This window comes from Homo sapiens, chromosome 7 (assembly GCF_000001405.40).
Source record: "Homo sapiens chromosome 7, GRCh38.p14 Primary Assembly".
NCBI lineage: Eukaryota > Metazoa > Chordata > Mammalia > Primates > Hominidae > Homo > Homo sapiens.
This window is the reverse complement of record NC_000007.14, coordinates 137,873,039-137,900,791: the sequence shown is the minus strand read 5'-3', so window position 1 is coordinate 137,900,791 and position 27,753 is coordinate 137,873,039. Positions and strand designations below refer to the sequence as shown.

Sequence of the window (27,753 nt, the reverse complement as noted above, 5' to 3'; positions counted from 1 at the left end):
TGCTCTGTCGCCCAGGCTGGAATGCAGTGGCATGATATCGGCTCACTGCAAGCTCTGCCTCCCGGGTTCAAGTGATTCTCCTGCCTCAGCCTCCTGAGCAGCTGGGACTACAGGCACGCGCCACCACGTCCGGCTAATTTTTGTATTTTTTTTTTTTTTAGTAGAGATGGGGTTTCACCATGTTGGCCAGGATGGTCTCAATCTCCTGACCTCATGATCCGCCCCCACCTTGGCCTCCCAAAATGCTGGAATTACAGGTCTGAGCCACTGCTCCGGCTGCAAATCATTGTTTTTTAAATTAGTTTTTTAAAATTAGCTAGTTTATTAATTGCATTTCAAACCCATTTTACAAAAATTGTAACGGTACCAAGTTGATAAATTCCTCTAGCACTTGCTGTGCCCAGTGCTATTTTAAGCACTTTACAGCTATGAACTCATTTAGCCCTATGAGATGCCATTATTATCATCCTCACTATATAGAGGAGGTAACTGAAACTCGGAAAGTCTAGGTGATTTGTCCAAGGTCACACAGTAACCGCTAAAGCTGCATTTGAACCCAGGCAGTCTGGCTCTGGAGCCTGGATGTGGGAGGAGTATATGGAGGTTTATGCCTGGCTCATATGCAAGAGAAAGGGGTGAAAGTGCAGGGTTAAGAAACTGGCTTTTGGGGAGTTTCATCCAGAATGTATGTGTTCATGTGCACACATGATACATACCTGTGCTGTGACAATTATTTCTTAGAGACTCCTGTCACCCTGAGTGTTAGAGATCCAACAAATTAAGCAGAGAAAAATGGACTTACTGGGTAAACAAAAATTTAATCAGATTAAGGGTCAGTGTTAATGCCCAGTAACAATTGTGCAAATATTAAGGGATCAGTTTAAATCTCTTTGCATGTTATTTGATAATAACAAATGAATTTAATTCCCGTTTCCTGATGCTTCATGGTTTGTTGCTCAAAAAGCCAGCTAATATAGACATAAGCTAAAACTACCGCCAGTGGGATCCCCCTGAAATTTTCTCTGCATTTCTGGGAATGTGTGCTCAGATAGCAGTCAGGGGCAGTTCACCCCAAGTGCTCTGTAAGACAGACTGCCCAAAGGGAGGAAGTGCCACCAACTTAGTGTGGCATTACCTTGATCTCATGAGGCAAGGGAGCTGGTTTCACTGCTTGCCTTTGGCCGTTAGTCTGCTGGGGCTTCCTCTGTTTTTATCTCCACTTCCTCTCCCTGGGGGGATTGCCTGAGGCGGCTCTGTTTCTCTGGATCCTGCTCCCCGAGCCAGCATATGTATGCATGTTTTTAGCATCCTGAGCCGATAGGCGTTCCCGGCACCCATCCTGGCACTTGCTTCCGCAGCAGCCCCATGTTCATGGGTGGGTGGGACAAATCCTGGCCAAGAATTGGCGAAAAGGGGAAGAGCAAAGACCTCCTTGGAGTTTGTGTTCAGGTTTCGTCCTCTACAGGCTCCGTGTCAGGCCTTCCCTGGGCCACATGGGGGCAGCAGAGGCACAGCAGGGATGTGCTGGGGCGAAGTCCGGGTGTGTGAGGGAGAAGGACCGACCCCACTACCTTGCCTGGGAAGTCTCTCCTCTCCTCTGCAGGTGGACTGTGCTGCGTGTTCCTTCCTTCCTTCCTTCCTTCCTTCCTTCCTTCCTTCCTTCCTTCCTTCCTTCCTTCCTTCCTTCCTTCCTTCTCTTTCCTTTTTCTTCCTTTTCTTTCTTTCTCTTTCTTTTTCTTTCTTTCTTTTTTCTTCCTTTCTTCCTTCCCTTCCTTCCTTTCCCCTTCTCCTTCCTTTCTCCCTCCTTCCTTCCTTCCTTCCTTCCTTCCTTTCCTTCTTTCCTTTGTTCCTCCCTCCCTCCCTCCCTCCTTCCACATTTTTATTTTTGTTTGCTTGTTTGAATCAGATATCCAAATAAGGTCCATGTGTTCAAACTGTTTGATATGTCCATTACATATCTTTTTGTCTGTAAGTTCTCTTGCATGTCTTTGCTGTTATTTAGTAAAGGCCGAGTCAGTTGTCCTGTAGAGTCTTCCTGGTCTTAGTTTACCTGTAATGTCCTTGTGGTGTCCGTTAGCACAGTCCTTCGTCCACTACAGACTCTACTTTGTTTGGTTTTGGTTTTTGGTAAGAATTCTTCATAGGTTCCACTACATGCCTCCATCAGAAGGAACATAAAAATTGGTTATTCGGTTCTCCACAATGTATACTTATTGGCTAGAGAGATCAATACATTAGGGGTTTGAAAGTAGCCTTATAGAATTCTATCATTTCTCCTCCAGTTATTAGCAGAATATTTTTCTAAAGCAAGACTCTTCATCGTTAATGAACATGGGTACACAAGTAACCATGAGATGCTGATTTCATTGTCTTTGGGTATATACCAGCAGAGGGATTGCTGGGTTATATGCTAGTTCTATTTTTAATATTTTGAGGAACCTCTACACTGTTTTTCATAATGGTTTTACTAATTTACATTCCCACTAACAGTGTGGAAGGGTTCCCTTTTCTCCACACCATTGCCAACACTTTTCGCGCCTTGTCTTTTTTATAATGATAGTACTAACAGATGTGAAGTGATATCATGTAGGGTTTTGATTTACGTTTCTCTGATGACTAGTGTCAGTGAGCACCTATTCATATACCAGTTGACCATTTTTATGTTTTCTTTAGAGACATGTCTATTCAGATTCTTTGCCCATTTTTTAAAATTGGTTGTTTTTGATATTGAGTTGTATGAGTTCCTCATATGTTTTTAATATTAACCCCTCATGATGGTTTATATGGTTTGCAAACATTTTCTCCCAATCCGTGGGCTGCCTTTTCATTTTGTTAATTTTTGTTGTTGTTGTGCAGAAGCTTTTTAGTTTGATATAGTTTTACTTGTTTATCATACGTTTCGACTTAAGGAAGATGCATACATAATATGTGCTCCTTGTAAAAATAATTTAGGAAAAAAAAAGAATCCTTTCACTCAGAGGTATCTTTATGTTTTGGAATATCTTATGTGTATGTATTTATATTGTACATACTTCTTTGTTAAGAACTATTTCCACATAACAAAACACTGGACATATTCTCATACATTTCTACAGGATCTTTGACTCACCATTAAAAATAATCTACCTTGATCAGGCGCAGTGGCTCATGACTGTAATCCTAGCACTTTGGGAGGCCGAGGCAGGTGGGTCACCTGTTGGTCAGAGATCACCTGACCAACATGGTGAAACCCCATCTCTACTAAAAATACACAAATTATCTGGGCGTAGTGGCAGACACCTGTAATCCCAGCTACTCGAGAGGCTGAGGCAGGAGAATCGCTTGAACCTAGGAGGCAGAGGCTGCAGTGAGCCGAGATTGTGCCATTGCACTCCAGCCTGGGCGACAGAGCGAGACTCTGTCTCAAATAATAATAATAATAATCTACTTCATGCTATTGGGATCTGAGCCTTCCCTGACAGTCTGCTGTTACTGAATGTGACCAGGGCTAGCTTAGCCACCTGTTAAAGCAGGGAAAGTTTTTTGTTTATGTGTTTTGTTGTCAGCATTATTAAGGCATAATTGACAAAATTGCATATTTTTACAGTATACAATGTAACGATTTGATGTATGCATATATTATGAAATGATTATCACAATCAGGCTGATTAACACATCCATCACTCCACATAATTACCTTTTTTTTCTTTTTCTTTTTGGTGCCAATGCTTAGCACACTTCTAGTATATAATATGGCATTTTTAATTACAGTCACCATGCTGTACAGTAGATCCTCAGAATGTATTTACCTTATAACTGAAAGTTTGTATTCTTTGACCAGTTCTCCCACTTCCAGTGCCCAGTGACCACCTTTCTATTCTCTTGTTTCTGTGAGTTTGACTTAAATTTTTCTTTAGATGTAAGTGATACCATACAGTATTTGTCTTTGTCTGGCTTATTTTACTTACAAAGCAGAACAAGTTTGTCGATGTTCCTCTTCCCCTTGGCCTCCTTCCCTGTACTCTGTGCCTTCCCTTGAGTCTCAGGAGCGCAGTGGCTCTGTGTGTCTTCTTCTCCCATTTCTTCTCCCTCTTCAAGACTCACCTCTCCTCGTGGATAACGCTTTTATGGTAGTAATGGCTGGCAATGGATTCATCTGTGATCTTCCCACAGATAATTGTAGCGGGGACCTCCTAAGATCATAATATTTAAGACCTGGCGCGGTGGCTCACACCTGTAATCCCAGTATTTTGGGAGGCCGTGGCTGGTGAATCACCTGAGGTTGGGAGTTCGAGACCAGCCTGATCAACATGGAGAAACCCCATATCTACTAAAAATACAAAATTAGCTGGGCGTGGTGGCGTGTGCCTGTAATCCCAGCTACTCAGGAGGCTGAGGCGGGAGAATCACTTGAACCTGGGAGACGGAGGTTACGGTGAGCCGAGATCACGCCATTGCACTCTAACCTGGGCAACAAGAGGAAAACTCCATCTCAAAACAAACAAACAAAACCAGTAGCTTTTAATGTATTTTGGCTTGAGAGGGAAATAGATAAAAGCAGGGCTGCTTCGCTCAAATGGGGAATAGACCTAGAGTTCCTCTAACTGCTCTTCCCCCTTTCTCTTTGTTTTCTGCCGAGGGCGTCTGTGGCGCTCAGAGAATACCACAGTAACCAAAATGACTGATGTAAGCATTGGCAATGCCCTGCCCTAGAGCCAGCCATGGGGAGCTGGTGATTGGGGTACTGGGCAAGGGAAGACGTTGGGACCCTTTACTCACATCACCCCATGCAGGTGACCAGTGTTTGGGCAGTGTGCAGGGCTGGGCTGGGGAATGCACACCTGTGTGTGTGTTCCTGTTGATGCTTCTCATATTATCATTCTTCAGAGGCAGCTGGATGGAAGTAGAACAACTTTGATAAGTGAAGAGGATCCTGGGTCACCAGAAATGGGGGGTGGAGAGGCCTTGGGGGCCATTGTTTCATATGCATGGCATGGCAGGGAAGGTGAGTGGCTGTTTCATCATTGACCAAATGAAAGAAAATGATACCTCTTTACTTTTTTCCACCCCTATACAATACCCCACAGGGGACTTTCGCATCTACCCAGATGAAAATTTGTGCTCAGATTATGAGTCAATCCTGAGTATGGTTTTCTTTCTTTTTTTTTTTGTACTGGACTCAGCAGCAGCCACCTAGCCTATTATTGATTTCTAGATGAAAAGATCTTTTATCTGAGCTATGGAGAGTGGAAGAGGACAGGGCCGGGAGAGTAGATGAGGAAGTCTTTTTCATCTTTCTTCAGTTTTTCTCTGGGAGACTCTGGGAACAGAGCTGAAGTGGTGCGAAAGCACCTTCACACTTCCTTTGCTGAGGTGATCCGCTAATTGCATGCTATCAGGAAATGTGTAAGATGGGAGTGAGATGGTTTCCCAGGGGGCCCTTCTTCCTGTGCTCCATCAAGAAATACATTTTCACTTGCTGGTGTCTGAGCAGTGCCTGTGTGGCTGCTAGAGAATCCTTCTGGCTTTTCTAAGTGAATGCACCTCTCTAAGCTGCAAGCTTTCTGGATGGCCCCACCCTGGTCTCATCCCTGAGAAATCTTGTCATTTTTTCCCACTGGTATAGTTTTCTTCTGCATGAGTGATGCACATACACTGCCCGGCCCATTAGTTGTAGGCGTTTGTGGCTCAGTTTGCTCCATTTATTTCTTATTTTGTTCTCAGGCATCTTTAGGGCTGTGAGCTACAGCTTTTCTCCTTGAGCATGGATTTGTAGAATCATAGGAGCTTAGACTTGAGATACACCTTAGATATCATTGTATTGAACTGCTAATCACCTTATTTTACAGAAGGAGAAACTGAGGCCTGGTGGGGTTAAAGTCATCTTAACATTTAGAGGTAGAATGGGGACGAGAACTTGGTCACTTAACTTTTGAACTGGTCCTTACTTTGGTTTCTCTTGCTGCTATACCTCTTGCTCCTTCAAGGACCTTGCCCCAGCAAGAGCCAACTTTAGACTTGGACACAAGGGCCCTTGATTTGGACTCAGTGTTTTAGAGGGCCCTGTGCTGGCTCTCCTTCAGCCATGTCCCCCTCCATGGGATGTGTAGTTGGCAGGACCAAGGGGATGCATCCATCTGGAGCTCTCACCCTAGCCCTCTAGAACTTACTCCAGTACCTAGGATCCTGGAATTCCCTGTCCAAAGGTCTTAGCTCATTTCCAGGGCCTATGTGGACTTCTACCCCAAATCTGTTCTCCGAAGGGCAAACCTGGTGACCAGTGGGCACCCCTGAAGCCAATGGGGTAGACAGAGACAGCTCTTTGTGAGGGCTGCATATGGAGTTTGAACCAGGCCTGGTGTGTGCACGACATCCTTCACAATATGTCAGGTCTGGATTCAATTTAGCCTTATTTATAGAAGATATGAGATTCCTGGGTCAAAGACAAAGGATTCTATTGCTCAGTAGACAGAGTGAGCAGCAGCATATATGTATCAGTTCTCCTTGCCCCCAGGTGCCAGGACAGATCCGGGTGGATGCTGTGCTCTCAGTGGGGATTGTGTCACAGCTAAGGAAGCCTGAGCTTGGAGAATCCACTGCTTTTATAGCAAGCAATCAGTAAACCTGCTTCTTGCCCAGGGAGAGACATTACCTCATCTGTCCAGGTTACCAGCTTCATAACAACCTTGAGAGGTGGCCCATCATAAAAGAGCAGTGAGAGCCTTTCCATCTTGGCATCCACAGCAGAATGTGTAGGAACACAAGAAGACCCAAGAGACTGTCTCTCTCCAACGGTGTGGAGCAGGCTGAGGCCTGGAGTAATTCTGCTTATACTACCACATTTTGGCAAGCAGCCCTGGGAAGTCCAAGAATTCTGTTCAAACCTGGCCATAGAGGGAGCCGGAAGGAGCAGGTGTTGGGCTGCTTGACTTGTAGAAACCTTAAGATGTGTGGCATGTGGACTTCATTTGTACACTTTCCTCAGACCTCACAGAATTAAGGGACATGCTTGCCTGACATTTATCTCTATTGTTATCAGAAATAAAATTCCTTAATCTTTTTCTTTGATCTTCCTCTTAGCTATAGTCTTTCTAACTCTACTTTTCTTGTTCTTGACAATCTCTATATGATTCCTATTAAAGGTCTTTCCAGCCAAGTCTACTGGGTTTTGACTGGATTCTGGCTCTCCTGGTCTGTTTGTTTAGCCCACACAGCTGTGTCTGTTTGCACTAATTTTGTGTATTTGTTCCCTACACACTATTATGGTTTTCTGTGTGTGGGTTCATCTCTTCTCTCTTAGACTGACAATAACTGGCTGAACCCACCCCCAGCTGCACACAAAGAAGCTATTTGAGGACTGATAAATGACCCAAGTTACTCTACTGTACACTTTTACCTTGGTTTTAATTCACTTTTCATTTCTGCATTATCTCTAACTTCTGGTTGTGTGAAGAGTGTGAACTTTCTTTCCACATGGAAATATTTCAAACTTCAAAGGATTATTGGGTACTAAACTAAGTTCCCCAGAGGGATTTAAAAGGCATTTTAGTGTAATTTAGTGTAAAGTTCAAAATTCCACAGCCTCAGTTTTTGTTCCTTGGCCAGTGTTTGTTCCTGGGCCAGTAGGTAATATAGCATTTCAGAAATGCCCTCTGGTTCCTACAAAATAAAGAAGCCTCTTGTAATGTAGCAATTAACACAGGAAGAAAAAGGAGAAAATTTATACGCTTTTTTTTTTCATTTAGGCCAGAGCCCCATGAACAACCTTCAAAACTTAAGTAAAAGGCCATAAACATATAGGTATTTACTCAAGGTTTAGGAGTTTGAGCTGATATGGTTGTCTTTTGTGTATGACACACTTTAGTATTTAAATGTCTTTGAGATTGTTCATGATTTTCCTTAAATATCCTTATGAAATGTGTAGAACTTATAATTATTAACATTGTATCCCGCCACCTCCCTGCCCTCCATCCCAGGATTTTGAGGTAGAGGTTTCAGCTGTTGGACACCCCCTTCTCACCTCAGAACCTCCCAGGCACTAACTCTAGATGTGACTCGGGTGGGGTGGGAAGGGATTCAGGGGGGATTTTGCCTCAGAAGGACATGGATGCTCATCTCTTCCATCATGAGGTCACCTGATCATCACCTGAGTTTTGTTTTTTTGAGATGGAGTCTTGCTCTGTCACCCAGGCTGGAGTGCAGTGGCGTGATCTCGGCCCACTGCAACCTCTGCCTTCCGGGTTCAAGCGATTCTTGTTCCTCAGACTCCTAGGTAGCTGGGATTACAGGCACACACCACCACCCCTGGCTAATTTTTATATTTTAGTAGAGACAGGGTTTTGCCATGTTGGCCAGGCTGGTCTCGAACTCCTGACCTCAAGTGATCCGCTCACCTCAGCCTCCCAAAGTAGTGGGATTATAGGCATGAGCTACCGTGCCTGACCAAGTTGTTTTTTTTTTTTTTTAATTGTGTGCATTAGATAAGTAACACTCAGGCTTTTTTGATTGTACAATTATTTTACATTTTATGTAGTGTAAATGGCACACCAGACTACCACATGAACATGTACATATACATCATACACCTCACTAATATGAATGCTTCACAAATCGATAGTTCTTTACAGCATACAATGCCCTCTGATATTGTGTATTCTATTTGACTCCATTTCATTAAAAACATATATCAGTCACAACCCAATTGATTTCACAAACCCACAAATGGTTCATGATTTGGAATTTGGAAATGACTGCTCTAGGTGCTTCCATAAGGCTGTGAAAAAGTTCCTTCATCTCTGAAGGAGGCTGATTTACCCAGGGAATAGTTTACACACATACATATGGGCACACACACACATATGTGCACCCGCACACACCACTCCCCAGAGAGTTCCATTTCTAAGATGTGTTGTAAGATTTGATGGAAGTATGTGTGGCTGGGTGTGGTGGCTCACACCTGTAATCCCAGCACTTTGGGAGGCCGAGGTGGGCGGATCACCTGAGGTCAGGAGTTCAAGACCAGCCTGACCAACATGGTGAAACCCCATCTCTACTAAAAATACAAAAAAAATTAGCCGGGCGTGGTGGCATATGCCTGTAATCCCAGCTACTCAGGAGGCTGACACAGGAGAATTGCTTGAACCTGGGAGGCGGAGGTTGCAGTGAGCCTGGATCACGCCACTGCACTCCAGCCTGGGCAACAAGAGTGAAACTCCGTCTCAAAAAAAAAAAAGAAAGTATGTCTACAGAGAGGGCCTAAGTTGAAGCTCCCAACACAGCAAATAATTGGGAACCACCACTTTTTTTTTTCCTGCTCCTGGTTTCTGACTCCAGTGGGAAATTAGGTTCCTGAATGTTCAAAGTCCAACATTCAATAACTGTATGACTGTTCTCATTCTTTCTTTTGTAAATAAGGAAACACACACAAAAAGCAAAATTAAACCAAAGACAAAGAAAACATGAGACTGTTGATGCATTTCCCAGTTATTGTAAGATTGTGTCTCCCACTCTTGGATTCTTTTGAATGTTTTGCCCAATTTCCTTTGATATGCCTCCCAAGATACAGGGTGATGGTTTATTTTGGGCAAGGCTGACAGCTGCTTTCCACTGCTCTTTTGCAAGGAACTGCATGAGGATAGCCACTGAGTTTATTTTTACATCTCACCACAGGACAAAATCCACATTTTCAATCAAGTGTTGGACACTCCAATTTAACAAATTGTGAAAAATCTGTTGGCCCAGATAAACGTATGCTAAGAGTATTCCTTTCTCTAAATTAAGATTTTGTTCCCGGAAGCCCAAGAATTCATTAAGGCCATAATTAGCCATGATCACTGATGATTTAAAATACAATAATAAAGAGGAAGTTTATACTGAGCTTCATAGGCACCATTGGATCTGTCCTGCGGTTGACTTTTTATAGCTGTAGTTTAAAAATAACTTTTCCATTTCATCTGCTGGCTGTCTTTTCTCCACCCAGCCCTTCATGCAAGTAGGGTGGGGGCTGTCATCCAAGCTCCCATTGCTGCAGGCAGTGACATCTGTCTCAGTGACATCAGAGAAAGTGCCACATCATCTCAAACCAACATATCAGTTACGAGGTCACAGGCTTTCCCATAAAAAGGACTGGCCTCATCTGTCATCAGTGAAAAGAGACAGCAAGCACTCTTCAAAGATGTATTTGCTTCAGCAAACGCAGAGTTACCCTGGGAGGGGGCATTTTCTCATTATTCCATGAGCTGATGTGGTCAAGGGAATTCATCTGAGTAGCTGCCTAAACTCAGAACTTAACTTGATTAAAGGCACATAGCAGTCATCCTCTGATTGAAACTCAGGTGTCTTTGCCTTTAGAGCCAATCCTCCTGATATATATATGCATCAGCTTAGCAATTCTAAAGCCATCTCATCAGCTTTTTTGGTGTTTCACAGAGAGACAGGTTTTATATTTTCCATTTTTCTAAATAAAGCCCAGGCTTGACTTCCTGAACCTTAACTAGGCAAGAAGTACCCTTGATTCTTTTATCTATTATCTGCATTTTATCTTTGATGTATCCAGAGAAAATACCACACAATATTTATTTGCCCTGATGGTTTTTGTGTCATTGTTACTGAAATTTTGTTAGTATGCATCTCCTTGCCGTCAGAATGGGTTTTATTGTGGCTCTTCCGTCTATGGCTTAGTCTCTTTTAATAGTAATATTTTCATATTTAATGGTGGACATATCTCAGTTGGGCTGGTGTCAACATAATATTAATGTTACTGGAGTTAAGAAAAATCTACTTAACTAAGACATGCTTTATTATTAATTTTAGTAGGTTATTGATTAGGGTACCATGCTGTACCATGTTGGAATGTACACAAGCTATGGGGTCAGATAGGTTTTGGTTTACATCTTAGGTCCTCTACTTATTAGCTACGTGACTTTGAGATGCTTGCTTAGTATTTTAGCGTATGTAGTTCTTGGAACTCAAGTAGTAGGCACTCAGTACTCTGTCATTGTTCATTTTCTCTTTTTATGATGAAAAGGAGTGTTTCTGTTGTATGGATGTGTGTGAATTTCCCAAACTCTATTGGATCATAGAAGTCTGTTTGGATTCTGGGGATGACTGAGCGAAATGCCTCAGTGTTGCTGATTGATGGGGCCTTGCACATGTTGTCATTTCCACCATCAGTTCCGTTTACTTTCTCCAGCACCAGTAGGAGAAGCAATGGCAAACAGCATATTATTAGTCACTGTTGCGCTTTCCACCAACATTTCGAACTAAAAATGTGTATTTTAAAACACATGTTTGCTCATCTTAAAGAGTTAGATTATAAACTGTTAGAAATCAGGGACTATTAAACAACCATTTTCATTTGCAGTGGATTCAGAATATAGTCATCTTGAGTTGGGAAAGGATGTGTCCGTGAATGCCAAGCAAAGTGCTGTGCAGTCAGGAAACACCAGCCCTCTCTGCTCTCTCCAGCCCTTCTTGAAGGGTCCTTCTTCCCAACTTGTAGCACTTTACACCTGTGACTGGGGAATGGGGGATTCCAATTTGAGCCTAAGATATTCTTTCAGTGGGCTTCAGGTGTAGCTGGCCTGCTGAAAGTCTGTTTTCAGGAGGCACTGGGGAGCCTCCTAGGAGACTGTTCATCCTAGGGGAAGGGGTACAGGGCCCAGAGATATCAACCAGAAATTGGAAGGGAGGACTGATTCCTTGTGTGGATTTTTTTTTTAAAGCTATTCATGCTCTAAGGACTAGGCAAGGGGTAGGGGATGGGCAGGGAGGAAGTACGGGCTGGCTGCTGGTCAATAGGGATTGTTGGTAAAAAATGGAAGTGGTCATTCCCCTTTCAAAACAGCTTAAGACTTTGGAGCAAAAGTAACATGCTTTGGTACCATCTGGAAAGGTACTAACTGAAGCCTGGATGGAGAAACCTTACCCCCTCATGCCCAGAGCATAGCTAAACTTCAGCACCTTGCGGCCACCAGCTTACAGGCAGCAGGAGCGCCCAGTGGAAAACTGAGGTGCCCAGGAAAAGTGGCAGCTGTCACTTACAGAAGTAGCTCTTGAGCAGGCCAGGGGAACAGGAGACCGCTTTTCATAGCTTAGCAGGAAGGAGAGACCCATTCCTACCATAGAGAGTGGTTGGCAATAAGAGGAAAGGGTTTGAGCCATGTGGTCTTTTCTGTGGGCTTACCTGGAAATTTGCCCAAGGACTTGAAGAAATATCAGCAGGGAGAACCCAGCAAGGGCTTTGGGGCTGGCATTACAGGTGATAGAGAGTCAAATATATGCTTCGGCCAGTGAAATCTCGCTGTGAGAATGAATGCACACTCAGGAAGTGGCAGTGCAGAAGGAAAAGGCAGCTGTGCTGTTGGGTAGGAAGGGAATTTTCTGGGGAAGTCCTGGGAGAACAGAGAAAAAGTTTCATGAGGAAGGAAAGGTGCTGCATCATAGAACCATTTAGTTGCAAACTTTCTTTAAGTAGAATTTAGAGTAATTATGCTGTTGAGTATTTCTCAGCATTAAGTAAACATACAAAATGCTTTTAAAGAAAATGGTGCTGGGTGCAAGTGGCTCATGCCTGTAATTCCAGCACTTTGGGAGGCAGAGGTGAGAGGATCGTTTGAGCTCAGAAGTTCCAGACGAGCTGGGCAACAAAGTGAGAGATGCTGTCTCTACAAAAAATAAAGAAAAGAAACTTAGCTGGGCATGATGACTCACACCTGTATTCCCTCCCAGCTACTCAGGAGGCTGAGGCAGGAGGATTGCTCGAGTTCAGGAGGTTGAGGCTGCAGTGAGCTGTGGTCACACCACTGCACTCCAGCCTGTGCGACAGAGCAAGACTTTATCTCCAGGAAAAAAAAGAAAAATAAAAATTGTACCTGAATACATTTAAATACAAACCAGGTCTAAACTACATTCAATCATACTTCTATATAAACAGAAACAAAAATGTACGATTAAGTACAAAAAAAGATCTTCACATTAAATAGAACTTAAATTAGTGATATTAACTAACAGAATGAATGATTCTGTGTTGCTTAAATTAAAATCACTATACCTGGGGAAAATGTCATGTAGATAGAAACGCATAGAAATTTTTTTTTTTTCTTTGAGACGGAATCTCGCACTGTTGCCTGGGCTGGAGTGCAATGGTGCAATCCCAGCTTACTACAACCTCTGCCTCCTGGGTTCAAGCGATTCTCCTGCCTCAGCCTCCCGAGTAACTGGGATTACAGACGCCCGCCACCGTGCCCAGCTAATTTTTTGTATTTTTAGTAGAGATGAGGGTTTTACTATGTTGGCCAGGCTGGTCTCGAACTCCTGACCTCGTGATCTGGCCACCTTGGCCTCCCAAAGTGTTGGGATTACAGGCGTGAGCCACCGCGCCTGGCCCAGAAAGGAGTTTTGAGTCCAGAAAGCATCTACTCTGTGTGCTGAGGGCTGCTCCAATTCACCCACCACTCCTATCCATTTAAACTGCTGAAAGCAAAATCATTCTTGTGGCCAACCTGTCCTTAATTTGCTCAAATTGGGAGAACTTGTTTCATTGGTACTAGCTGGGGGTGAAGATGTAAGCCCAGGAAAAATCTGCTTGTCCTTCTAGCACCTGAATGCTATTCGGGGGTAGACTGTGGTGAGAAGCAAGTTATCTGCGAAAGCCCACAGCATTCTGTGAACAAATGATTTGATGATGTTTTCCAGTGAACTTATGTGGCTGTCTAACATTGTTACATCACAGCACACATTTTCCGAGAATCCTTGAGACCCAAGAGAAAGCATCTGCTCATAAAATCTTTCCACTTTGCCATATGCACTGGGTTTGGGGGTGGGGGATGAGGATGAGGAGGAGCTTCAACTCTTTACACCACTCACAGGGAACTCTTCCCGGGTGCTCTAACTCAGGAGGGTGTGTTGTCAGATCCTTTTCTATGCCTTGCAGTGTTCAGAATTTGCAAAGAATTTTACCATCTGCTCTGTGTGCTGATGTCACACAGAGCAGAGTATATAAGACTGTTCTTATCCCTCAAACTTTGCCTTTTAAGGAGAGGCACAGTTGTCCAATTTTAGGGATAAAACGTCTCCTTTTTTTTTTTCTGCTCTTGCTCTCTTGTCTTTTTCCTGGAGAAAGGCTAGAATCTGTTTCAAAGGATGGTTTTAAAGACCCTTGACTCTGGGCTTGAGGGTCCAGTTGAGCAGGCATCTTTGTTCTTTCATATGTTGGCTTCGTTTCCTGACTCTGGAGGTGCTGTGAGCGTTTAAGAACCACAGGCTTGAGCTGCAGGTGGCTGTTTGCCTCTCTGCCTTAAACAGAGCCGTTCTTGTTTTTCCTCTCCTTTCTCTCTCTCTCTTCTAACCTGCCTGTGAATGCCTGTTACTCTGTGTTGGCATTTCCAGTCACAGCCCCCACCTCTGGCCTTTCTCTCTCTCTTCTAACCTGCCTGTGAATGCCTGTTACTCTCTGTTGGCATTTCCAGTCACAGCCCCCACCTCTGGCCACTCCTTCTGTTGTTCTCTGCTGGTCATTTTTTATTTTTCCTTCTCTTTGCCTTTGTCCCTTTTTTATGTTTTTGTCAATGTTTCTCATCTCTTGCTTAAATGAGTTCTTCTTTTAATCGACATTTTCTTAGTCTGTTCAGGTTGCTATAACAAAATGTAATAAACGAGGTCACTTACAAACAACAGAAATTGATCTCTTACAGTTCTGGAGGCTGGGAAGTCCAAGATAAAAGTGTTGGGAGATTCCGTGTTGGGCGAGGGCCTGCTTTCTGGTTCACAAAAAGCAGCTTCTTGCTGTGTCCTCTCATAGTGGAAGGGAAGCACTCTAGTCTTTTCAGCTCCTTATAAGGGCACGAATCCCATCAATGAGGGCTCCATTTATGACTTAATCATCTCCCAAAGGTGCTGCATCCTAATACCGTCACATAGAGGACTGGGTTTTAGCATAGGAATTTAGGAGAGACACAACCATTCTGACTTTAGCCACCATCCAATCAGAGTGTTCCTTTTCCTTTGTTCTCAATCGCTGAGAAACAAGCCACAGCCTGTCAGGGGTAATGTGGAGGCAGTTACCTCTAACTCAGGGCAGTGCAAGAACAGGACTTTCAAGTGTGAAGGCTGATTCTGAGCCCCAGTGAGCTCTGTGACAATGGTGCTAGAAGGTACTGGTGTTCGTATCTTCTTCCAGAGGAAACTGTCCCTTGGGGCTCTGTTGAAATGCAGGCACAAAGGCACGGCGGCCTTCTTGGGTCACATGGAGAGATCAAAAAGCATCTCTTCTCTGTCAGACTCCCCTCACGGCTGTTGTTATCATTGGCAGGACTCTCCTTCAGCAACTCCAGAAGCTTCAGACTTTGGTGATGGGCAAGGTTTCTCGAACCTGCAAGTTAGCTGGCACGCAGACTGGCACCTGCCTCATGGTGAGCTTCCCAGCAGGGTAGCACAGTGACCGCCCCTGGCCTGGCCCCTGTCTCCCCTCTCCCTCCACTTGCCAAGGCCAAGTGCTGTGCTGTAGGAGAAACCACATGGAGGAACTCCACTCTGAGGCTGTTCCTCGGTGAGGCACTCTGGTGATGTGACTGGTGGGTGCAGTCCACTGGCCTGAAGAGGAGAGTCTGTGTCCCTGGGTATAAAGCTGTGCTGTCCAGAGGCTGAAGTCCACAGCCCCTCGTGTTCTCTCTCCCCTCTTTCTCTCCCACAGGTTGTGGTGCTGTGCTTTGCCGTTGCATTCGGCAGCTTCTTTCAAGGCTACGGGCCCTATCCTTCTGCCACCAAGATGGCTCTGCCCAGCCAGCATTCCCTGCAGGAGCCCTACACAGCCTCCGTGGGTAAGACAGCATGTGGCAAGTTGGGCAGGGTCTTGTTTTATTTCCCTAGAGCTGGGTTTCTCAGTCTTCCAAAAGGAATCTTCTGTGAAAGTCCAATGTTTAAAAAGTGGTAAAAGTGGAGCTTCTCCCTTTGAAGAGGCAAGTGGGGGTTCCCCTGGGGCCCCTCATCCACTGGACTGCGGCATCACTGGGAATTCTCCAGAGCTTGACAGAGCACAGTTTGCAAACTGCTGTTCTAGACTGTGTTCCCTGATCCATTCTGACATCTAATTTTTGAGTTCTGATAAGGGAGAGGGAAGCAGATGAGGGAAAGAGTCTGTCGCTTTCTGTGACGTTTTAAGAGAACTGCTGTGTTTCTGCCTCCACTGAGTGGAATTGTATGAGTAATGTAATGCAATGTATATAGTAAGGGCTTGTAAAGTGAAATTAAATAAACAGCAAGGTCAGGGCCGGGCGTGGTGGCTCACGCCTGTAACCCCAGCACTTTGGGAGGCCGAGGCGGGCAGATCACGAGGTCAGGAGATTGAGACTATCCTGGCTAACACTGTGAAACCCCATCGCCACTAAAAAATACAAAAAAATTAGCCGGGCGTGGTGGCAGGTACCTGTAGTCCCAGCTACTGGGGAGGCTGAGGCAGGAGAATATTGTGAACCTGGGAGGCGGAGTTTGCAGTGAGCCGAGATCGCACCACTGCACTCCAGCCTAGACGACAGAGCGAGACTCCATCAAAAAAAAAAAAAAAAAGAATCAGCAAGGTGAGGAGTTCAAGACCAGCCTGGCCAATATGCTGAAACCCCGTCTCTACTAAAAATACAAAAATTAGCTGGGCATGGTGGTGCATGCACCTATAGTCCCAGCTACTTGGGAGGCTGAGGCAGGAGAGTGGCGTGAACCTGGGAGGCGGAGGTTGCAGTGAGCCGAGATCGTGCCACTGCACCCCAGCCTGGGCGGCAGAGCAAGACTCCATCTCAAACAAACAAACAAAAAGAATCAGCCTGCCTTCCAAAACCTTATGCCCAAGATCTAGAGAATATGGGGACTCCGGTGTCAGATAAGAAGCGTATGGTGTTCTCACCTAGAAATAAAGGGATGGTGAGTAAGGAATACACACACAAATTCACACCTACACCTATAGGAATGAGCATGGGGTTAGGCAGTACAGTAGTCCCCCCTTATCTGAGGTTTTGTATTCTAAGCTTTCAGTTACCTGTAGCCAATGAACATACCTGCAGTTACCTTAAAATAGCTGAATACACTATAGTAAGAAACACTACCTGCAGCCAATAAAAATACCTGCAGTTATCTGAAAATAGCTGAGTACACCACCATAAGAAATTTTGAGAGAGAGAGGCCACATTCATGTAACTTTTATTAGAAGATATGGTTAGAATTGTTCTATTTTATTATTATTGTTAATTTCTTACTGGGCCTAATTTCTAAATCAAACTTTATCATAAGTACATATGTATAGGAAAAGGCATATGAACCCTACATGCTATATGCCCATATATAAACCCTGTATGGTTTTTCCCATACATATATACCTTATACCATATATATAGGGTTCAGTTCTATCTTCGGTTTCAGCCGTCCACTGGGGGTCTTGAAATGTATTCCCCATGGATAAGGGAGGACTACTGTACTGGATTTGGGATAGGGAAAATTTTGCCATCTTGAAACGTCTGTGGTCTTCACCAGGCAGGTGTGTCTCTGCCAGGTATGACAGAAGTGCTAGCATTCCAATTAAATAATTTCAGTGGCCTGTTGAGAATTTTTCCCCCCAAGGAACTATCTCTCTAAATTTAATTGGAAGCATAGTTTCTATGTCATGGAAAATTGCTACAGAGCCATCTAGCTGTGTGACTGTCCTACAAAACAAAGGAGATTGTCTCTATCCTTTGATTTATGGCTTTGGCTTTGTGTCTCCTCTTCCCTTTCTAAATGAGATGCCCTGTACCTCATCCCCCTGCCAGACCTACTCACTGGGAATGCTGCTTCTTTTAGCTGGGTCTGGACATCTCCAAGTATTCCACTCCCATTCTCCATGAATCATTTTCCCTAGATGGTTATGGGTGGTAAGGGGGGAGTTTTATATTTTCAAAGCAGTGGGGGTGGTAGTTTGCCTTGTGTTTATTTGCTTTTCTATTGTTCTTCCAGCACTGTATAATTGGTATAATTTTTCAATGCACAAACTCCGAAGCTCTAAAGTCTTTATAGAAAGCCAAATTCTGTTGGCACCCATGGTTCTGGGCAACGAGAACACACACATTGTCATCTGCCACCAGCCCTGAGCACCTGGAGTGAGGGAATGTGTTGGACCCCTGTGGTCTTTTGCTAACACCTTATTATTCTGCTCTGTCCTCAGTGAGATCCAGAAACCTGCTGATCTACGAGGAACATTCTCCCCCAGAGGAGTCATCCAGCCCGGGCTCGGCTGGGGAGCTGGGGGGCTGGGATAGAGGTTCCTCCCTGCTCAGGGTGTCAGGGCTGGAGTCCAGGCCGGATGTGGATCTTCCCCATTTCATTATCTCGAATGAGACCAGCCTGGAGAAGTCAGTGCTTTTGGAGCTGCAGCAGCACCTGTGAGTCATAGAGACACAGAGCCAACTCCTCTAGTGCACTGATGGTGGGTTATGAGTCAGCAACCTGAGATGTGAGGTTGAGACTCTCCATAGGCCTGGTTCAGTCCCTCAGCTCTCTCAGGACCTATTTCCAGGACCTGGGACTGCAGAGAGTCTGTTGCTGGCCAACAGTTGCCCTGAGCAGAGATGAGGAAAAAAACCAGCGTGAGCTCCCCTATGTCTGCTGCATCAGCGGGGAGCTGGCGTGGTGGCACAAAGAAGTGCTTGAATCCCTTCCCCCACTGTCTCCATCCTCCCTTCCAAGCCACACGAGTGAATGCACAGCCCAGGTAACCACAGTGTGTTTGCTGTGCAAATCCAACTTTAAGACATGTTTCATGGCTTCAACTAGGGAGTAGATATATATTGTGCTATATGTCAATATATGTTTATGATTTATATGTAAATACACATGTGTTAATTAAAACTATACATATTATAGTTTTATACTTATAGATGTATGTTGAGGGGTACCATTTAAGAGGCACTGTGCACACATTTCCATATTGAGAACAACCTCTATTTGGCTCCAATTCTACATGAGTTGTTTCTCAGTTTCTGGGAAAAATCCCTTTGTAAACATAAAGGCTTATGCGACTGCAAGGTATTGTTGTTGTAATAGGGGAGGTCCCTGGGCCTGCATGCATGCTCCTGGTTACGTGTGACATGGTTGGTGATTTAGCTGAACTCTGCTCCTATGCCTCCCAGAAATGAGGCCGTTCCGATGTAAATGGGAAAGATTTTGTTTCAGATTCTTCAGCTTTCATCCCCTAATTCTGCAGGGGAAGGTTTATAATGAAGTACTTTTATGTGTGTACATTATACATACATATTTAACATTTACTAGCACTTACTATTTTAAGCACTTTACAGATGTGAGGCAGGTTGACTATCCCTTATCTGAAATGCCTGGGACCAGAAGTGTTATAGATTTCAGATTTTGGAATATTTGCATTATACTTAACAGTTAAGCATCCCTAATCCAAAAATGCAAAATGCTTCAGTGAGCATTTCCTTTGAGCGTCATGTCAATGCTCGGAAATTTCTAGATTTTGGAGCATTTTAGATTTTAGATTTTCGGATGAGGGCTACTGAAACAGTATCATACAAATCCTTTTAAGTATCCCATGTGGTAAGGCATCATTATTATTCCCGTCATAGAGAGACTTGCCAATGTAGCCACCGCTGGGATCTCTAGAAGACCCAGTGCCTTCTTACTTGGCTCTGGACACAGTTTCTCTTCTCTCAGCTAAGCTGTTCAAGGCCCACTTCAAATCCCATTTGTTCTGTGATGTCTCCTAGATAACAAAGCCTCCTAGCCCTCCTCTGAATGCCTAGAAATTTTCCAGGTTGTTACACAATTTAATAATGTATTTATTTTCTGTTATGGATTTATTATTATTTCAAATTAGCTCATTGTTAAAAATCTTTATCTGGATTATTAGCTCTTCTAGGCCAAGGATCAGCTCTTATCATTTTATTTTCTCCTTCCCTGAGTTTAGCATAGGGCTAAACATCCTAAGTAAATAGAATAATTTAATGCATCTCATAGCAGATCAATATCAAGCCACCATGATTATCCTTAGTAGGGTTGGGATGCCTTGGGTGTAGATAAAGGTAGGAATGTGGACTAGTGGAGAGGCTGGTAGCAGGGGACTTTGGAAACAGAGAATTGCTACTAGGAGAGAAAAGGACAAGAAACATGCCCAGGCCGTCTCACCAAGTTGCAACCCCTGAATGATTGCATCACGCTACAAAGCATGAGAATTGTAGCTAACAGCTGGTGACTAATACTTCGTTTTCCTTTTAATGCCTTCACAGGGTCAGCGCCAAACTGGAGGGGAATGAAACACTAAAAGTTGTAGAACTCGACAGAAGAGTGAACACCACTTTCTAAAGAGGCTGCCTGCACCCCCTCCCTTTCCCTTAACTCTACTTTTACATCCCCAAACCACCTTTGTCATCAGCTTTTCCTCTTTGCCACTGGATCTTCATGGAGACATGGGCAAGCATTAGTGGCTTCAGATTGGAGACCAGCCTGGGACTTCCCTGCAGTGAGAGAGCATCTCCCCCTGGTCCATGCCCCTCCTGTGCAGAAGGGAGCCTGCATCCCTCCCTTCCTTTCTCTTACTGCCATAGGAAATTATTTTAGGGGTTGGAGGTGGGACAAGCAGGCTTGTTTCCACCAATAGTGCCAAAAAGATATTGCCTAATGTGCACCTGTGAGGTGTAACCCCCCGCTTTGGAGACGAGATGGCTCTTGTTCAGTCAAGACCCCAGACTCTGGCCACAAAAATGCCATAATGCCTGTTGGTATTTGGCAAAGCACTGACCCGTGTCCTCCGTTGCTCGCACTGGGGTCTCTGGTGTGAACACCCCCGACAGCAGCCCTCCGCCCACTCTGCCCCCTGGGAGCCCTCGCTGGATCGTCTCGTCTCCTGCAGCAGCACTGGCAGGCGAGGGCTCTCGTTCATATTCTCAGGCCGCAAGTGCAATGCCTGAGGGGATCAGGCTTTTCTACTCCAGGCAAACCTGCCCCATCTTGTCGCTTTTAGGACCTCCCACAACCTGGTTCCCCACACATCCATAGTTCTGCCTCCCCAGCTTCTCCTCCCCAGTTGTAAATAGTATTTATTAGCTTGCCGAGGCTTCCTGCTAGCAACCACACTGAAGAGATCGATGCCTCCTTTCAAGCTAGCCAAGTTTTCTGCGAGCCTTCAGAGCTAGGAGGGCACCCTAGGCTCTGGGATCCCGTGTCTTTCCAGACAATGTTTTGTTTCCTTTCCTTTGTTTTTTCTTTTAACTGGAATAATTACCATTGAAAAAGAAGTTCCTTTGAGCATGTATGTGTCTGCCTCTAGGATGAGCTCAGAGCGAGAGATGACACAATGCCTCACTCAGGCCCCGGGCTCCCTGGCCACAAGCTTTTTCTATCCTGTTTTCATGACAGAGAAGGGGAAGCCCTGTTCTGACAACAGACATTTCAGACAACCTTGCTGGCTTTCCACACCTGCCTGGCCCCCTCCTCCCTCCACACTTCCACTTTGTCCTCCTCGTCCCCTACCTCAACAAAGCAGGGTGGGGTAGGTGACATTTGTGTATCCACATTCTTACCTTTGGTAGTCAGGTTTGGCTACTTTGCAGCTCGCCCAAAGAGATACAACCTAATCCCCAACCTACTTTTAGTTTTTTTGTTTTTTTTTTATGGTTAAAAGTAACTTTTGTAGTTTAAAAAAATCTTTCCTCTTTCATATAAATAAGAAGTGGAAATTGCCTTTTTATTGTGTAATGTAGAAAACCCTCAAGTGTTTTTTCCGAGCTTGGGAAAGATTTTGTGTAGGAAATGTGCATAGAGTTTGTATTTTATTTTTATTAGCAGCTGAAATGCCTTTGGTTTTGGCTTCTCTCTCTCCCTCTCTCTCTCTGTCTCTCCTTCTCTCTCTCCCCCCACCACCCACCCCCACACACGTCATCTGCATTGTTATTGGAGCCTGTACTTAGAGGGATTAAGCCCACACCCTGGCTTCCATTCCATATCAGGTACAGGATTTGATGTTATTAACATTTGTCGTCATACCTCATAAGTCGGTCCCTGCCTTGTCTGTCTAGGCCCATTTGGGGCTCCCTGTGAGTGATTCCCCTCTCTCTGCTATGCTGGAGACGGTTCCAGCCTGGAAAGCGGCCAAGTTCATCTTCTCACTGTGAGTGGAAGCTGGATCGGGCCCCCGTAGTCCTGGCAGCCCTGTTGTCTGGAGGGTTCTTGTTGTCCCTCCCATTAGCCAGGGCGGAGACTGTCTGAGCTGTGCAGGAGGAGGGTTGCTAGTAGGTTCTGCTTCTGCTTCTCTCTGCTCCACTGTCTGCAGCCCAGATCCTGTTGGGCCTGGCTGGTGTCTGGTAACCATGGGCCTCCACTGACCCATCCCTCTCTTTTAAACTGTCAGGTCATTATCAGGCATAGGCAGCCTATAGGGCCCAAAGAAGGCAAAAAGATAAGATTTACTCAAGTAGCATTTGGGCAATGAGGAAGGAAAGGTTTCAAATTTAGGGGCAGAAGTGAGAGAATGAGCCAACCCATGTACCTGCTGCAACTGAACCAGACTGGGTTTTCAAGGCTCCCAGACGTAGAGTAGGAAACGTGCTCTTCTAAATGAGGAGGGAGAAGATAAAGGAAACTTCTAGCCCCTGTCCTTAGTGCTTTGAGGATTTTATTTTCTCCCTTACTACGCTTGCTTGACGTCACTCTCTCTCGACCTCCAAACAGCAGGACTCTTTCTCTGGGAAACCATCCTTCCAAAACGGAATCTATGTAGACAATGGGACGTTAGGCAGAGAGCTCAGATGGCCCTTTTAAGGGGGCTCCAAGAACCAACATCACTGCTCTTTTAGATAAACCTCTGCCCTCCACTCCTTGCTTGAGTGGGTTAAAGGAACTAACAGTTGTCCCTTTAGGAGGACAAAATGGGGTCAAGAGGACACAGAAGAGTTGTATAGCACCAGATTGGTTCCAAATAGTTAATGGATGTGTGCACATTTTCTGTTCAGGGATTAAGACCAGAATATCAGTGGATTTGTTTTCCCCACCAAGTGGCCTCTTAGACTAGTCATTAACTTATGATTAGCTCTAAAGATTTCAAATAGTGGCAGACAGTGTCTTCTGAATGTAAGTTTTGAGAAATACGAGTCTGTCAGAGCGGCCATAAGCCATAAAGAGTCAATCTCTTAATTATATTTTTCATCATGTAAACAAGTTTCCCATTTCCCTTTCTTAGATTGCACCAGTGAAGGAGATGTTTTGCAAAGATTCAGAGAACTAATTTTTCACTGGATAAGACCTGAGTAACCCAGACCCCCCACCGTGGTTCTTTTCACAGCCCTCGACTTTGCACTTAAAAAGGGATATTGTAAATGAAAGGCTGCAGTGCCAGTTTTAAGAAAGAATTTCTGTGAAGTGTGAGGACTCTGGAGTCTAGCTCACATAAAGAGAGTGTTATATAAAAATCCGACAGCTGAACTAGGTTGCTCTTTTTTGGCAGGGAGTGGGGATGAGATTTGACACCAATATGGGCAAAATTAGATAACCTTTTGGTTAATATAAATGATTTTGATTTGGAGGCCTAATTTGTAGATTGTGAAAGCAGCTTTTAGTTTAACTTATTCACAGACCCCTTATAATTACCATGTTTTTTTTTTTCTTCCTAAATCTCTTGGTTCAGCTTGTGAATCTTACGTGCCCGTAAAGTTGGGATGTTGAATTGGCTCTTCTTTGTTCTGGCAGTGAGTCAAGTGTCCAGCATTTTTTCATAAGTGTTTTTTAAAATTGTTCTCCAGCATTTTATGGCTCCTCCCTCCCATGTCCTCAGACCCAGCAAAAGCGTAGAGGCAGAATTAGAGGCCTCTCCAGGCCAGCTCCTCTGCCCACATGTCATACAAGGTGTGAATTTGAGCACAGTCCAGAAATGGAGACATCCCACCCCCAGTTGAATAATGGCCCATTCATGCCAACCTTGCCAACACGGAGAGGGCAGAGATGCACTAGAAGACCTTCATCCTCCCCTTCCTCTGCCCCAAGTCACTACAGTTGGTTCTATTGAAGCCAGTCTTTAAGAAACCTGGGTTAAAGACACCAGCACTTCTGCTTGCTGGGCTGGCTGGACCTGTGAAGCCATGGGCAGGTAGTGCCCTCTTGAGAGTCATTTTATTTGGCCACCTTCAGGTGAGACTATCCATAGACACATGCTAGGATAGGCCCCGCTGGGAGGGCAGTTACAGGAGAGAGTAGGTGGTGGTGACGTGAGGGCTGTGAAGGATCCAGAGACAAGACTTAGATGTTTCGTTCATTCACTCACTCATTCAGTTACTCCTAAGACTTTTCAGTTTCATAAGGAAGAGTGTTGCCTGAGGCCCTAGGGAATATTGGGGAATAGAAGGGATTGAGGAAACATTAATAATAGTTATTCAAAAGACCCAAATGCTTATACTTCTCTCTCCCTTCTTCTCTCTCTGACACACACACACACACACACACACACACACACACACACGTGCACATTCCTCCCTTACATGCTCATTTGTGCCTTAAATGTGCCTTATAGGTAAATCCAGGATGACTGAGGAATCCCTCGTCACTGGGAGATTTTGTATATATTCTTTTATTATTAGATTGAGTTGGGTGTGGGGAAAAATTTTTTTCTGAAGGCTCAAAAGTGGTTTCCTAAAAGTGAGCCACTATCAGATTTGCACATCAGGAGAAAAGAAATAGGGTTACGTCCATTAGGAAAATCCCAGTTTGCAGGAGTGCAATCACATCAAAAAAACAACCAGCCAGGATTAAAGGTATTATAAATCCTCATAGCGGAACATTTCTCAGGGCAAAGGAACCTGGCTCATTTGAAGATTAATGTTCCATGCCTTTGTGGTCAAAGGGTCAGCACTTAACACAGGAAAAAACTAGGTGTTGTTTTGTTTTGTTATTTTGGACAACATAAAATTCAGGAATGTTTTATTTAGCCTTGGTTTCTAGAAGGAAGGGAAATAATATTTCTTGAGCATTTACTAGGGTGTTGCGTGCTGTGCTAAGTAAATTTTAAGTCTTTCAGTTTTATAGATACGGAAAACAAGGGTGACTCTTTACCACAGGATGAATAAAGAACTAAGTAATATGGGAAATGCAGCAATTTCTGGACTAGCTGAGCCGATTCCTTCCTGTGAGCACACTGTAAGCTTTCAAGTTCTCTGGGCAGGAATTACAGCACCTGTCCCCTGCAATGGCCCTGCTGTGTGATGCTCATCGCTTCCCTTCGTGCTGGAGCAGTCCCCCAGGTGTCCATCTCCTATCTTTTTGTTCCAATCTTCTGTGAGTTCCAGCTAGCAGGCTTTACATCTGGGGAAAGGAAAACCAGGGGTTTTAGCTCTGTTCTCTGCTCCCATCCTTCGCTCACCAGCTGAGTGAGAACATGAACTTTTTGCACCATGTACCCATGGCTTACACTACTTAGAAAATCACCTTTTCAGATAAAACAGTTTATGAGTTCATAGAGAACACCAGCACTCTTTGACAAAACTGTGAGTGACCCTTTTTAAACAATGCTGAGCAGGCCCTGAGCTATAATCAACGGTGAGCTTTAATGTCTATGCTGACAGTTAGGTTTTGCTCTCTTTTGTAACAGGTTACGTAGACCAGCAGTGTTTAAATCTAAATACGTTGTGAGTCTGTTATCTGTCCTATCGCGTTTTTTAAATGACTTTTTATTCTTTATCATAGCTAAGTAAATACCAAAAAAAAAAAAAAGCTTTGTAGGACACTTGTACTTAGTTTGGGAAAAAAAAATAAATTGAAATTGTTATGCTTTTGTATTTCCATTTCTTGCAAATAAATATTTTTTCTTAAATAGTAAGATGTTGCCCAGTCTTTATAATCTTGGTACTAATTTGAAAAGCATGTTGTTTTTTTATGAACATGGGTTTGTGTATGTGTGCCGAACCGTTCTTTCCTGGATATCTACTTGGCCTGAAAGAAGAGCCTCAAACCAGCAATTGGTATGTTATATAGGACTGAATCCAAGCCTTAGTTGGAGGAATATTGAGAATGTAATTGTTTTTTCAGGCAGCCACGGGAAGAAAAACAGTATCCTCTAGAGACTTATGCAGCATGACTGTTATTTTTATTGTCTCCTCTAACTATTCCCTAACTAGATTTCAACTGTCTGTGGATTTGATTTTGCTTTCCCCATCTCTGGTTGCTTGAGAAAGATCCTTTGGACTTGAGCCAGAAAGGAATGATCCTTCTTCCTACGAACAGTTGCAGAGGATGTCTAACAGATTCATGCTCCAGAAATTCTGATGAAATGGTTGATAAAGGTCAGTGCACTCAAGCAGAGTAATCTTCGTTCCATTACAATGTCTGAATCCAAATGTAGCTTTCTTCACTCAGAGAGTGGGGGCTTCGTTTAGTCTCAGACTGACTTGGGATGTGAGAGACTAAGGCCAGGGACTGTGCTTACTTGGAAAAAAAAAACAAAACATGGGATTTTTTTGTTTGTTTGTTTTGTGTTTTTTTTTCCTTAGCAGCATGCTCAACCCTGCCCTGGCCTTGAGGGTACATTAATCTGCTCTATCTTGTCCTCTTCAGAGCACCTTGACCTTTTGTTGTTACACAAGGGGGCCTTTCCCTTCAGAGGCTTTCATTATCATGCCCCACTCTTTCTTTTGTGGGGAGCCTATTTCTGAAGCTCCTCCACCCCCCAATATGCTGATATCTTTTCAGTGGTGTGTGGAGAGGGCAAATACTCACTGATTTGAGAATGTTCTGTATTAATCATGCCTTTCCATTTTCTGAATTCCTAATGCTTTGACATCTAGGGCCTTGCCGACCCTGGAGGGACCACCCGTGCGAGGGCTAGCCCATTCCTAGCTTAGGAGCATGCCTTTCATATACAAACCGACCTGGAGCCCATAGCCCAGCCACCTCCTCTGTGGCCTTTCATACTCTGGGCTACTCTCCCCCTGCCCTAGGTACCCTAGGGCCAGGTACCAGACAACTAGAGACAGTCTCTAACCCCGCAGCCTACTGAAATTATTCAAACTAGCCAATCCAAAACCTGTGTACCCTGTGTTGCCTGTTTTTTCCTGCATAAACCACAATAAAAGCCCTTGCTCACATTTTCCCTTCATTCTTCCTGCTTCTTGAGCCACCCTGGTGCTTCCCCAGATGGGCTTGCGTGACATCCCCTCTCCTCTTGGGAACTATGAGTAACAAGCTGTCTTTTCTTTTCAATGACCTCACCATCCCCAAATAATCATACCATAAAAATCTGCTGGCCTCACCATACCCGAATAATCATACCATAAAACCTACATTTTAAAATGAATATCAAATGAGAGGCTGATCCCAGACTCATGGGCATCTGGGGTTTCACAGATGGGCCTGCTGTGATTTAGTTTGAGGGAATACAGATCTATTATCTCTTTGCACACTGGTTGCCACTTAAGTTCTGGAGAGGAAAAGTGAGATCTCTACGGAGCAGTGTGGCTTGTTCATGGCAAGAGAAAGCAGTGTCTAAAACCCTAGTCCTATGCTCAGGTTCCAAGTAAAGTCATACTTGATATCTCTGAGAATGAGTGCCATAGAGGCAAGGGAACACCTGGATACAGTGGGGGGAAGAAACGAGTGGGACTCAGAACATAGAGGTGTATGGGTTCTTGCACTAGTTATACCATTAACTTGCTGGCCTGGAAAAGGAGACACTTATTGAGTGCCTACCATGTACCAGGAAGGTCTCATGAATTACCTCGAACTCCTGGGTTCAAGTGATCTTCCCACCTCAGCCTGCTGAAG

At 44.3% G+C, this 27,753-nt stretch overlaps 1 protein-coding gene across 2 annotated transcripts in view, besides 12 other annotated features; it reads left to right on the top strand.

Moving 5' to 3' along the window:
- Positions 1-25,813, top strand: part of CREB3L2 (cAMP responsive element binding protein 3 like 2) — a 127,108-nt gene extending 101,295 nt beyond the window's left edge. For both annotated transcript variants that reach the window (NM_194071.4, NM_001318246.2), the window contains exons 9-12: positions 15,290-15,389; positions 15,671-15,797; positions 18,164-18,380; positions 20,241-25,813. In NM_194071.4, the coding sequence (NP_919047.2) occupies positions 15,290-15,389; positions 15,671-15,797; positions 18,164-18,380; positions 20,241-20,316 (520 nt within the window). In that variant the 3' untranslated portion in view covers positions 20,317-25,813. The remainder of the gene's footprint in view (positions 1-15,289; positions 15,390-15,670; positions 15,798-18,163; positions 18,381-20,240) is intronic.
- Positions 704-1,420: an enhancer, noted in NCBI's record as "OCT4-NANOG-H3K4me1 hESC enhancer chr7:137584118-137584834 (GRCh37/hg19 assembly coordinates)". NCBI's record gives its function as "activates a minimal SCP1, AML or CMV promoter by ChIP-STARR-seq in primed H9 embryonic stem cells {active_cell/tissue: H9 hESC(primed)}" and the evidence as "EXISTENCE:reporter gene assay evidence [ECO:0000049][PMID:30033119]".
- Positions 704-1,421: a biological region, named in NCBI's record as "OCT4-NANOG-H3K4me1 hESC enhancer GRCh37_chr7:137584118-137584834".
- Positions 1,352-1,421: an enhancer, noted in NCBI's record as "active region_26729". NCBI's record gives its function as "activates an Ori minimal core promoter by ATAC-STARR-seq in GM12878 lymphoblastoid cells {active_cell/tissue: GM12878}" and the evidence as "EXISTENCE:reporter gene assay evidence [ECO:0000049][PMID:35858748]".
- Positions 4,719-4,888: an enhancer, noted in NCBI's record as "active region_26728". NCBI's record gives its function as "activates an Ori minimal core promoter by ATAC-STARR-seq in GM12878 lymphoblastoid cells {active_cell/tissue: GM12878}" and the evidence as "EXISTENCE:reporter gene assay evidence [ECO:0000049][PMID:35858748]".
- Positions 5,169-5,338: an enhancer, noted in NCBI's record as "active region_26727". NCBI's record gives its function as "activates an Ori minimal core promoter by ATAC-STARR-seq in GM12878 lymphoblastoid cells {active_cell/tissue: GM12878}" and the evidence as "EXISTENCE:reporter gene assay evidence [ECO:0000049][PMID:35858748]".
- Positions 15,478-16,035: an enhancer, noted in NCBI's record as "H3K27ac hESC enhancer chr7:137569503-137570060 (GRCh37/hg19 assembly coordinates)". NCBI's record gives its function as "activates a minimal SCP1, AML or CMV promoter by ChIP-STARR-seq in primed H9 embryonic stem cells {active_cell/tissue: H9 hESC(primed)}" and the evidence as "EXISTENCE:reporter gene assay evidence [ECO:0000049][PMID:30033119]".
- Positions 16,722-17,223: an enhancer, noted in NCBI's record as "H3K4me1 hESC enhancer chr7:137568315-137568816 (GRCh37/hg19 assembly coordinates)". NCBI's record gives its function as "activates a minimal SCP1, AML or CMV promoter by ChIP-STARR-seq in primed H9 embryonic stem cells {active_cell/tissue: H9 hESC(primed)}" and the evidence as "EXISTENCE:reporter gene assay evidence [ECO:0000049][PMID:30033119]".
- Positions 20,694-21,427: an enhancer, noted in NCBI's record as "NANOG-H3K27ac-H3K4me1 hESC enhancer chr7:137564111-137564844 (GRCh37/hg19 assembly coordinates)". NCBI's record gives its function as "activates a minimal SCP1, AML or CMV promoter by ChIP-STARR-seq in primed H9 embryonic stem cells {active_cell/tissue: H9 hESC(primed)}" and the evidence as "EXISTENCE:reporter gene assay evidence [ECO:0000049][PMID:30033119]".
- Positions 20,694-22,159: a biological region, named in NCBI's record as "NANOG-H3K27ac-H3K4me1 hESC enhancers GRCh37_chr7:137563379-137564110 and GRCh37_chr7:137564111-137564844".
- Positions 21,175-21,469: a silencer, noted in NCBI's record as "tiled region #739; K562 Repressive non-DNase unmatched - State 14:Gen5'". NCBI's record gives its function as "represses a minimal TATA promoter and a strong SV40 promoter by Sharpr-MPRA in K562 cells {active_cell/tissue: K562}" and the evidence as "EXISTENCE:reporter gene assay evidence [ECO:0000049][PMID:27701403]".
- Positions 21,428-22,159: an enhancer, noted in NCBI's record as "NANOG-H3K27ac-H3K4me1 hESC enhancer chr7:137563379-137564110 (GRCh37/hg19 assembly coordinates)". NCBI's record gives its function as "activates a minimal SCP1, AML or CMV promoter by ChIP-STARR-seq in primed H9 embryonic stem cells {active_cell/tissue: H9 hESC(primed)}" and the evidence as "EXISTENCE:reporter gene assay evidence [ECO:0000049][PMID:30033119]".
- Positions 26,232-27,431: an enhancer, noted in NCBI's record as "P300/CBP strongly-dependent group 1 enhancer chr7:137558107-137559306 (GRCh37/hg19 assembly coordinates)". NCBI's record gives its function as "activates an origin of replication core promoter dependent on BRD2, BRD4, P300/CBP, MED14 and CDK7 cofactors, with strong dependence on P300/CBP, by STARR-seq in HCT116 cells {active_cell/tissue: HCT116}" and the evidence as "EXISTENCE:reporter gene assay evidence [ECO:0000049][PMID:35650434]".